We start from the raw sequence: 12,590 nt of genomic DNA, 5'->3' as shown, positions 1-12,590 counted from the left end.
GAGGCGGAGCTTGCAGTGAGCCAAGATCGTGCCACTGCACTCCAGCCTGGGCGACAGAGCGAGACTCTGTCTCAAAAAAAAAAAAAAGTTGTCATCAGTTATCAGTTTAAAATAATGGGTAATAAGATAGTATTTGGCTGGGCATGGTAGCTCATGCCTATAATCCCAATACTTTGATAGGCTAAGGCAGGAAGATCACTTTAACCCAGGAGGTCACAATGTTACTCATTTTGCCTGGGTAAATGGCAAAATGTTGACTCTACAATAAAAAAAATTAGCTGGGTGTGGTGGCATGTACCTGTAGTCCCAGCTCCTGGGGAGGCTGAGGCAGGAGAATCACTTGAACTCAGGAGGCAGGGGCTGCAGTGAGCTGAGATTGTGCCATTGCCCTCTAGCCTAGGTGACAGAGCAAGACTCCACCTCAGAAAAAAAAAAAGATCATCATGACGAAGTGGAATTTCTCCCAGGGATGCAAGGATGGTTCAACATACACAAATCAATTAATGTGGTACATCATATCAACAAAACGAAAGACAAAAACCATATGATCATTTCAATTGATGCTGAAAAAGCATTTGATAAAATTCAACACTACTTCATAATAAAAACCCTCAAAAAACTGGGTGTAGAAGAAACATACCTCAACATTATAAAAACCATATATGACAGACCCACAGCTAGTATCATACTGAATGAGGAAAACCCGAAAGACTTTCCTCTAAGATCTGGAACATGACAAGGATGCCCACTTTCACCACTGTTATTCAGCATAGTACTGGAAGACCTAGCTAGAACAATTAGACAAGAGAAAGAAACAAAGGGCGTCCAAATTGGAAAGGAAGAAGTAAAAATTATTCTTGTTTGCAGATGATAAGATCTTATATTTAGAAAAAACATAGACTCCACTAAAAAACTATTAGAACTAATAAACAGGGGGCAGTCATGCCAAGCACCTTAATTCATTTTAATGGTGGAAATAATGGACACATATGCTTAGGGAGTTCAAGTCATCTCACTTATGACATATAGACAGAATGAAAAACTATTTTTTTTAGCAATATGATTCTTCTTTTTTTTTTTTTTTTTGAGACAGAGTCTTGCTCTGTTGCCCAGGCTGGAGTACAGTGGTGCCATCTTGGCTCACTGCAACCTCTGCTTCCCAGGTTCAAGCGATTCTCCTGCCTCAGCTTCCTGAGTAGCTGGGACTACAGGCATGTACCACCATGCCTGGCTAATTTTTGTATTTTTAGTAGAGACGGGTTTCCCTATGTTGGTCAGGCTGGTCTCGAACTCCTGATCTCATGATCTGCCCCCCGCCTCGGCCTCCCAAAGTGCTGGGATTACAGGCATGAGCCACAGCGCCAGGCCATTCTTTTTTTTTTTTTGAGACGGAGTCTAGCTCTGTCAACCAGGGTGGAGTGCAGTGGCATGATCTTGGCTTGCTGCAACCTCCGCCTCCCAGGTTCAAGCAATTCCCCTGCCTCAGCCTCTCAAGTAGCTGGGACTATGGGCGTGCACCCCTAGGCCTGGCTAACTTTTTTTTTTTTTTTGAGATGGAGTCTCGCTCTGTCACCCAGGCTAGAGTGCAGTGGCACGATCTCAGCTCACTGCAAGCTCTGCCTCCTGGGTTCACGCCATTCTCCTGTCTCAGCCTCCTGAGTAGTGGGGACTACAGGCGCCTGAGGCCTGGCTAACTTTTTTTGTCTTTTTAGTACAGATGGAGTTTCACCATGTTGGTCAGGCTGGTCTTGAACTCCTGGCCTCAAATGATCCGCCCATCTCGGCCTCCAAAAGTGCTGGGATTACAGCACGAGCCACTGCGCCAGGCCAGTCAATAATAATTTAATTGTATATTTTAAAATAACTGAAAGAATTTAACTGGGTTATTTGTAACACAAAGGATAAATGCTTGAGGGGATAGATACCCCATTTATCATGATGTGATTATTATGCGTTGCATGCCTCTATCAAAGTATCTCCTGTACCCTATAAATATATATGCCTACTACGTACCCACAAAAATTAAAAACAAGAAATTTAAAAAGTTAAAACAAACAAAAGAAAAAACCCAGTGTGATACTGACCTAAGGGTAGATAGAGAAACAAATGGAGTAGAATAGAGAACCCAGAAATAAATCCTCACATATATGGTTAATTGATTTTCAACAATTGATTTTCAACTATTTTCCCTTGTTGAAAATAGTTGTTTAGACTATTCAATGGGGGAAAGGATTCGTATTTTTGACAAATGTTGGTGGGCAGGGGGTGGGGGAAACATGCAAAATAATGAGGTTAGCCCTTTTCTGTACCCCACATAGAAAGCTTAGCTCACATACAAAAAATTAACTCAAAATGGATCAAAGATCTAAACTTAAGTGCAAAAACCATAAAAATCCTAGAATAAAACATAGGGGAAAATCTTCATCATATTGTATTTGGCAATGATTTCTTAGATATGATACCAAAAGCACAGGTAACAAAAGTAAAAATAGATAAAGGGGACTTCATCAAAATAAAAAGTTTTGTGTTTCAAAGAATACCACCCACAAGGCCGGGCGCGGTGGCTCACGCCTGTAATCCCAGCACTTTGGGAGGCCAAGGCGGGTGGATCACGAGGTCAGGAGATAGAGAGCATCCTGGCTAACACCGTGAAACCCCATCTGTACTAAAAAAAAATACAAAAAATTAGCCGGGCATGGTGGCGGGCGCCTGTAGTCCCAGCTACTCAGGAGGCTGAGGCAGGAGAATGGCGTGAACCCGGGAGGTGGAGCTCGCAGTGAGCCGAGATCCTGCCACTGTACTCCAGCCTGGGCAACAGAGCAAGACTCTGTCTCAAAAAAAAAAAAAAAAAAAAGAATACCAGCCACAAGGTGAAAAGACAGCTCACCGAATGGGAAAAAGTATTTGCAAATCTTACATCTGATAAAGTACTTGTATTTAAAACATAGAAATAACTCTTACAATTCAATAAGAAAAAGAAAATTGACCAATTGAAAAATGGGTAAGGGGCCAGGCGCGGTGGATCACGCCTATAATCCCGGCACTTTGGGAGGCCAAGGCAGATAGATCACTTGAGGTCAGGAGTTCGAGACCAGCCTGACCAACATGGCGAAACCCTTTCTCTACTAAAAATACAAAAATTAGCTGGGTATGGTGGCGTTTGCCTATTATCCCAGCTACTCGGGAGGCAGGAGAATCACTTGAACCTGGGAGGCAGAGGTTGCAGTGAGCCAAGATTGCACCACTGCACTCCAGCCTGGGTGATAGAATGAGACTCTGAGTCTCCAAAAAAAATGGGGCTCTGAGTCTCCAAAAAAAAGAATTCTGATACATACTATAACATGGATGAACCTTGAAAACATTGTGCTGGCTGGGCACAGTGGCTCACGCCTGTAATCCCAGCACTTAGGGAGGCCGAGGCAGGCGGATCACGAGGTCAGGAGATTGAGACCATCCTGGCTAACACGGTGAAACCCCATCTCTACTAAAAATACAAAAAATTAGCCGGGCGTGGTGGCGGGCGCCTGTAGTCCCAGCTACTCTGCTGAGGCAGGAGAATAGCGTGAACCCCGAGAGGCGGAGCTTGCAGTGAGCCGAGATCGTGCCACTGCACTCCAGCCTGGGTGACAGAGCGAGACTCCGTCTCAAAAAAAAAAAAAAAAAAGAAAGAAAGAAAACATTGTGCTAAGTGAAAGTGGCCAGCCATAAACTATAGTCACATATCGTATGATTCCATGCATATGAAATGTCCAGAACAGGCAAATCTACAGGGAGATTAGGGACTGCCAGGGGCTGGGCACACAGGGGAATAGAGAATCACTGCCTAATGGATTTGGGGGTTTCCTTTGGGGTGATGAGAATGTTTTGGAGCTAGATCAAGGTGATGCTTTCAAACATTGTGAATTTACTTAATGCCACTGAATTGTACACTGTAAAATGGTTAAATGGTAAATTTTACATTGTATTCTACTACAATTTCTGTTTAAAAACTGAGCTTATTACTTTTTCTGTTTTTTCCTTTTGAGACAGTGTCTTGCTCTGTCGCCCAAGCTGGAGTGCAGTAGCACGATCATGACTCACTGCAGCCTCGACCTCCTGGGCCCAAGCGGTTCTCCCATCTCAGACTCCCAAGTAGCTGGGACTACAGGTCTGCACCACAACACCTAGCTAATTGTTTTGAATTTTAGTAGAGATGAGATTTCTCTATGTTGCTCAGGCTGATCTGGAACTCTGGGGCTAAGGTGATTCACACGCCTCAGCCTCCCAAAGTGCTGGGATTATGGGCGTGAGCCACTGCGCCTGGCCTACTTTTTCTTCATATAAACTCCTCTTACTGTATCTTCATCTCAGGTTACAGTGTAATCATCTACCCAGTCTCCCAGGCAATAAACCTCTGAGTCAGCCTGGACTCCACCCTCTGCCCTTATCCCACGCATTCCATGCATCACAGTCTTCCCAAAGCCTTCCCCTCCTCTCCATTCCCTTTGCTTCCTTCAGACATTCTTTGTCTCTCATCAGGGCTCAGCAGTGTCTCCTCACCCTTCTCGCTGCCTCCACCTCCTACTCCATTCAATGCATCTTCCACAGCGCCTCCTGAGTTTGTTTCCTAAAAGAGCAACCTCAAGACTCAGCTGCTCTGCCTGAAGAACTCTGCTGCCTCCAGCAGAAAGCTCCACCTTTGGAAACAGATATGATCCTCCAGCAATCCCAACACTCGGAGGCTGAGGCGAGAGGATCACTTGAGCTCAGGAGTTCAAGTCCAGCCTGGGCAACACAGCAAGACCTCCAGTGAAATTCAAAAAAATTAGCCAGGCGTGGTGGCTGTAAGAATTAAAGAAAGAGGAGAGAAACATGAAGGGTGGTTTGACAGTCATCAGGGACAGGTTTATTTTGAATAATAAACTTGGCAGCTGGCCAAGTTAGGTCAGAGCCACCCTTTCTTACAAAGAGTTTGTAAGGATTCAGGGTGGGAGAGTTTATCAGAGGCTTGGACTGCTTCTGTGTCTCTTTGTTGTGCTTATCTTGTGCTTATCTTTTTTCTGCAGCTATAGGCATATCCCCTGAGTCTGCTTTTAACTTCCCTATCTTAGTGCAACTGAAGGGAAAGAAATGTGCTTATTAAGGCCCATTATTTTTTTGTTTGTTTGTTTTGAGACAATCTCTCTCTGTTGTCCAGGCTGGAATGCAGTGGCGTGATCTAGGCTCACTGCAACCTCTGCCTCCCAGGTTCAAGGGATTATCCTGCCTCAGCCTCCTGAGTAGCTGGGATTACAGGCGCGCGCCACCATGCCCGGCTAATTTTTGTATTTTTAATAGAGATGGGGTTTCACCGTGTTGATCAGGCTGGTCTCGAACTCCTGACCTCGTGATCTGCCCACCTCAGCCTCCCAAAGTGCTGGGATTACAGACATGAGCCACCACGCCCGGCCTAAGGCCCACTGTTTTACTGGGGCCCGTTGTATGAGGGTGAAGTTTGGCAGTTACCCAAGAGACTTTGCCCCCACCTCCCTCTATGCCCAAACTGTCTTATCTGCGTTTTCCTGTCTGCTCTTTCTGTCTGCTTGTAGTTAGAAGAGAAGTGATTTCCTTGAAATGCATGAGGCTAGAAAGGGAGCTGTAACTTAAAGGGGCGGTGTTTGTCCCAGATGACAGTGCTCTTGCTCCGTCAGTGTCATATGGTTGTAGTCCCAGCACCTTGGGACGCTGAGGCAGGAGGATCGCTTAAGCCCAGGAGCTTGAGGCTGCAGTGAACTGTGATTATATCACTGCACTCCAGCCTGGGCGACAGAGCAAGATCTTATCTCAAAATTAATGTATTATTATCATTATTAATTTTTTGAGACAGAGTCTTGCTCTGTCACCCAGGCTGGAGTGCAGTGGCAGAATCTCTGCTCACTGCAACCTTCGCCTCCCGGGTTCAAGCAATTCTTCTGCCTCAGCCTCCCTAGTAGCTGGGACTACAGGTGCACACCACCACGCCCAGCTAATTTTTGTATTTTTAGTAGAGACAGGGTTTTGCCGTGTTGGCCAGGCTGGTCTTGAACTCCTGATCTTGAGTGATCTGCCCGCTTTGGCTTCCCAAAGCGCTGGGATTACAGGTGTGAACCACTGTGCCCAGCCTATTATTACTATTATTATTATTATTTTTGAGACGGAGTCTTGCTCTGTCGCCCAGGCTGGAGTGCAGTGGCACAATCTCGCCAGCCTATTATTTTTTTAAGAGATCCTTCAAAACCTGGCCTTAACTCTCCTTTCCAGCATCATCTCTCATTTTTCACTCCAGTCACATAAATGTCTCACAATTCTACCTACTCCATACCTCCATATTTTTGGCTGGTGCAGTTCTCTCTTCGGGTAACTTTCTCCCTTCTTTCTGCCTTGTACACATTTTCTCTTTCTTCAAGACCAGTCTCAAAGGTCACAGCCTCTGTAATGCCTTCCCCCACTCTCAGGATTGAGCTCCCATTCCCACTGAACCTCGGCAAGTCTCCACCTATAGTACCTAGCACCCTGCATGTAACTCTCTTGTAGAAAAAAATCCATCTCCTTTGTTTTTTATTTATTTGTTTATTTATGTACGGAATCTCCCTTTGTCTCCCAGGCTGGAGTGCAGTGGTGCAATCATAGCTCACTGCAGCCTCCACTTCCTGTGCTCAATCCATCCTCCTGCCTCAGCCTCCCAAGTAGCTGGGACTACAGGCATGTGCAATCACACTCGGCTAATTTTGAAATTTTTTGTAGAGGTGGGGTCTCACTATGTAGTTGCCCAGGTTGATCTCAAACTCCTGCCCTCAAGCAGTCCTCCCACCTTGGCCTCCCAAGATGCTGGGCCAGGTGCTGTGGTACCATGCTAGATGGTATGTCACAGGTAGTCAGCGGTTCCTGGTAGTGACTATATTCAGAATGGTAGTTAAAAGTAATCAGTTTATTCTGCAGCAAGCACAGGGACACAGGAAGACAGTCCTGACTCCAGGGGCTAGCACCTGTTGGGGATTCTGGGATGCCAGGGCTAGCTCCAGTCCTAGGGAAACTGTATTGTCAGACAGGGCAACTGAGGCAGAAACCTTGGCCAACAGCAGAGAAGAGGAAAGGCAGGGGTCTGGTGGGCATCAGGGTTTCCAGGGCTCATCTCAGTCAGTTAGAGGAAGGCAATGGCTTTTTGGAGAACAGAATGAAGGACATATTGTGTGGGAAATGTCAGGGATGCCGCAAGGGAGGTGAATTAGCGGGGTGTGAACTCCATTGCTTAGCCTAAAGCTTTTCCTGGTCTTTCCATCTTCACTGGCCAAAGCAGCTGTCATACAATTGGGTCCTTTGCTGCTATGATTCCAGGGCTGGAAGGGTCCTTAAAGATATTCCAGCCAACGCCCTGGGTGATGCTAGAATTCCTTCTAGACTTTAGGCTTGATCCACACACTCCCAGAACTAGTAAAGCTCTCAGAGACCTGGGGACCTGGTATGCAGGGCCCACTCCTGCCTTCTCTGGGGGAATTTTCCCCACCGCCTCCTTTCTTTGCCTGGTCCAAGTCCCAGCTTCCAGAAAGAGGTCCATACCTGAGATACCTCCACTTCCTCCTCCTCCAGAGCCAGCTTAAAGTCAGGAGGCGGCACAAGTCCGCGAAGCTCAGAAAGTCCCCCAGATTCCTCTGTGGTCAAGCCAGTTTCATTCAATTGAAGCTTGTTCCCTGAGGATTTGTTCATGGGGGAGTTATTGTGTACTTGATTATAGTTCCCATGGCTACTGGCTCACAGTGTGAAGGGAATGGGCATACATCCACGTCCTCCTGCAAAATTGGGATTTGACCTCATTTATAACCAAACATGCAGCAGGCAACCTTGCAAATTACACAGCATGAAGAGAGTCCAGAGAGTTCTGAATGACTTAGTAGAAAATAACATTAAATAAAATAGTACATGCGGAAGGATGTGTTCTCTCCCTGGTTCAACTTAGGTGCATAATAGCTGTTCATAGCAGTATTAACCTTGACATCCAGGAGGGAGACCATTCAACTGAAAGGTTGCAAACTGGCAACCCTCAGTGGGAATCTCACCCATAGACCTATATATCCAATTTCAGAGTACTATGGTTTGAATGAGTCCCTCAAATCTCAGGTGTTGGAAAGTTAATCCCTGATGTAATACTGTTGAGAGGTGAGATCCTTAAGAGGCAATTAGGTCAATGGATTAATGCCATTATTTCAGGAATGGGTTTGTTATAAAAGCAAATTCAGCCCCCTCTTTCTCTCTCTCATGCTCTCTTGCCACGTGATGATGTCTCACCAGAGGCAGCTCCTGTATCTTGGACTTCACAGCCTCTAGAACCATAAGCCAAATAAATGTCTATTGTTCCTAAACTACGCAGACTGTGATATTCTGTGATAGCAACATGAAGTGGACACAGAGTGTTTAAAACTTGCTTTGAGTCAACTTAAAAAAAATCAGTATCTTTCACTGAAAAAAAAAAATCCAGGCCGGGTGCAGTGACTCACACCTATAATCCCAGCACTATGGGAGGCCGAGGTGGGTGGATCACGTGAGGCCAGGAGTTCAAGACCAGCCTGGCCAATATGGTGAATCCCTGTCTCTACTAAAAATACAAAAATTAGCCAGGTGTGGTGGCAGGCACCTGTAATCCCAGCTACTTGGGAGGCTGAGGCACGAGATTCGCTTGAACCCAGGAGGCAGAGGTTGCAGTGAGCCGAGATTGTGCCACTGCACTCCAGCCTGGGTGACAGAGCAAGATCCTGTCTCCAAAACAAACAAACATCCAGATTCCAGTGTCAATGTCCTTCTGTTAAGGGCCACCAAGAACACACCTAAAAGAAAGTTTTAAAACAACGTTGGGGGACTGAGTGTGGTGGTTCATGCATGTAATCCCAGCTCTTTGGGAGGCTAAGGTGGGAGGATTGCTTGAACATAGGGGTTTGAGACTAGCCTGGGCAACATGATGAAACTCCATCTCTACAAAAAATACAAAAAATTAGTGGGGTGTGGTGGCATGTGCCTGTAGTCCTAGCTACTCAAGGGGGCTGAGGTGGGAGAATCACCTGAGCCTGGGAGGTTGAGGCTGCAGTAGGTCATGATTGCACTACTGTACTCCAGCCTGGGCAAGAGAATGAGACCATGTCTAAAAAAAAAAAAAAAAAAACAACCCAAAACAAAAAACAAAGTCAGTTTTACGGACTCATAGCAATGAGGCAGACCCACATAATATGGGGAACTCTAAGGCATCTCAGAAAGAGGTGTTGAAGATGACTTAGACTGGGCATGGTGGCTCCCGCCTGTAAGCCCAGCAATATGGAATGCCAAGGCAGGAAGATCGCTTAGGCCCAGGAGTTCAAGACCAGCCTGGGCAACATAGTGAAACCCCACGTGTCTAATTAAAAAAAAAAAAAAAAAAAGACTTATTGTAGGACTTATGCTCGTGTTATGTTTCAGGAGAGGATTTGAGGCAAGAGGGTTTGCTCTGGTTTGGATGCATCAGGAAGGAAGGGGTAATTCTTTTTTTTTTTTTTTTTTAGATGGAGTCTCGCTCTGTCTCCAGGCTGGAGTGCAACAGCGCGATCTTGGCTCACTGCAAGCTCCGCCTCTCAGGTTCATGCCATTCTCCTGCCTCAGCCTCCCGAGTAGCTGGGACTACAGGTGCCCGCCACCACACCCAGCTAATTTTTTTTGTATTTTTAGTAGAGACGGGGTTTCACTGTGTTAGCCAGGATGGTCTCGATCTCCTGACCTCGTGGTCTGCCTGCCTTGGCTTCCCAAAGTGCTGGGATTACAGGCATGAGCCACCGCACCCGGCCAGGAAGAGGTAATTCTATGTCTGAGTACCGTAATTTTCAACTGAAAGGTGGGAGAAAGGAGCAGGACTAAATAGTTTGGACAATGTTCTTGTTTTTGTCTGTGTTCAGACATCATGAGTACACAGTGGCTTTGTTTTTGTCTGATCCACCACAGTCATAGAGTGGCCTTGTCTCTGTCGTGGTGTTCTATAAAATTGTTGATGTTGGCTGGGTGCAGTGGCTCACGCCTGTAATCTCAGCACTTTGGGAGGCCAAGGCAGGTGGATCACCTGATGTCAGGAGGTTGAGACCAGCCTGGCCAACATGGTGAAACCCCACCTCTATTAAAAAAAAAACAAAAATTAGGCCGGGCACGGTGGCTTACACCTGTAATCCCAGCACTTTGGGAGGCCGAGGCGGGTGGAACACCTGAGGTCAGAAGTTCAAGACCAGCCTGGTCAACATGGTGAAACCCTGTCTCTACTATACATACAAAAATTAGCCAGGTGTGGTGGCGGGCGCCTGTAGTCCCAGCTACTCGGGAGGCTGAGGCAGGAGAATCGCTTGAACCTGGGAGGCAGAGGTTGCAGTGAGCCAAGATCACGCCATTGCGCTCCAGCCTAGACAACAAGAGCGAAACTTCATCTCAAAAACAAAACAAAACAAAACAAAAATTAGCCGGGCATGATGGCGGGCGCCTGTAATCCCAGCTACTTGACACCAGCCTTGGTGACAAGAGCGAAACTCCATTTCAAAAAAAGAAATTGCCAAGATGGGCCAGGTACAGCCGCTCATGCTTGTAATCCTAGCACTTTGGGAGGCCGAGACAGGCGGATCACCTGAGGTCGGGAGTTCGAGACCAGCCTGGCCAACATGGTGAATCCCCGTCCCTACTAAAAATACAAAAATTAGCTGGGCGTGGTGATGTGTGCCTGTAGTCTCAGCTACTCAGCAGACTGAGGCATAAGAATTGCTTGAATCTGGGAAGTGGAGTTTGCAGTGAGCCCATATCACGCCACTGCACTCCAGCCTGGGCGACAGAGCAGGACTCTGTCTCAAAAAAAAAAAAAAAAGCCAAGATGGTAAGTTTCATGCAATGTATTCTAAAATTTAAAGTATTATTTATTTTTTAAGAGATGGGGTCTTGCTCTTTTGCCTAGGATGGAGTGCAATGGCATGATCAAGGCTCACTGTGGCCTCTACCTCACGAGCTCAAAGGATCCTCCTGCTTCAGTCTCTCAAGTAGCTGGAACCATAGGTGCACACCACAATGCCCGGCTAATCTTTTTAATTTTTTTAGAAGCGAGGTCTCCCTTTGTTGCCCAGGCTGGTCTTGAGCTCCTGGTCTCAAGTGATCCACCCACCTCAGCCTTGCAAAGTGCTGAAATCACAGATGTCGGCCACCAAGCCTGGCCAAGGAAAGTATCTTAACAGGTAACTGACACAATAATAAAACTTGTTTGTTGATCCTTGGATTCACATTTCCCAAATGAAAAGACATATGTCACCTTCTCCTGCGGAATACAACAGAACAAGATTAGTTATTTGATTACTCGGTACCTTTTTTATTTTCTTCCTTTCTTCTTCTGCTTTTTTATGGTAGGGGGGTGATGGGTTCATCTCACTCTGTCGCCCAGTTTGGAGTGCAGTGGTGGTCATAGCTCTCTGTAGCCTCGATCTCCTGGGCTCAAGCAATTTTTTCCCACCTCAGCCTCTTGAGTAGTTAGACATACAGGCATACATCACCACACCTAGCCAATTTAAAATTTTTTTTTTTTTGTAGAGACAGGGTCTTGCTGTGTTGCCTAGGCTGGTCTTGAACTTCTGGCCTCAAAAAATTTTCATGCCTCAGCCTCCCAAAGTGCTGGGATCACAGATGTGAGCCACCACACCTGGCCCTTTTCCTTTTTTTCAATTTAATTTAATTTTATATGCAGAGGTTACCAGGACATGTTGTGTGATGCTGAAGATTGGGCTTCTGCTGATCACATCGCCCAAGTAGGGAACAATAGCAAGTTTTTCAGCCCTTTCTCCTCCCTTCCTCCCCTCTGCAGTTCCCAGCTTCTATTGTTCTCATCTTTATGTCCATGTGTACTCAATGTTTAGCTCCTACTTACAAGTAAGAACATATGATATTAGGTTTTCTGTTTCTGTGTTAATTCACTTAGGATAATGGCCTTCAGCTGCATCCATGTTGCTGCAAAGGACATGATTTTGTTCATTTCTATGGCTGTGCATTACCCGTTTTCCTACCCTTTGTTCTGTTATTCATATTGCCTGTTATTGTCTTTAATACCCTTTTAATTAAAGTTTTCTTTATCTGATCTTCCTTATCTTCATCCTGTTACCTTTGACTCTCTATGGTCTTCTTTTGTAACTCAAGAAAAATTTGGCTCACACCTCTAATCCCAGCACTTTGGGAGGCCAAGGCAAGTGGATCACCTGAGGTCAGGAGTTCGAGACTAGCCTGGCCAACATGGTGAAACCCCATCTCTACTAAAAATACAATAACTAGCCAGGCATGGTGGCAGGCACCTGTAATCCCCGCTACTTGGGAGGCTGAGGCACAAGAATCGCTTGAACCTGGGAGGTGGAGGTTGCAGTGAACCAAGATGGTCCCATGCGGTTCCCATGATAGTGAATAAGTCTCATGAGCTCTGATAGTTTTATAAAGGGCAGTTCCCCTGCACACACTCTCTTGCCTGCCACCATGTAAGACGTGTCTTTGCTCCTCCTTCGCCTTCTGTCATGATGGTGAGGCCTCCCCAGACATGTGGAACTGTGAATCTATTAAACCTCTTTTTCTTTATA

The sequence above is a fragment of the Homo sapiens genome, chromosome 16 (assembly GCF_000001405.40).
Source record: "Homo sapiens chromosome 16, GRCh38.p14 Primary Assembly".
In the NCBI taxonomy this organism is placed as follows: domain Eukaryota; kingdom Metazoa; phylum Chordata; class Mammalia; order Primates; family Hominidae; genus Homo; species Homo sapiens.
This window is presented reverse-complemented; position numbering follows the sequence as displayed.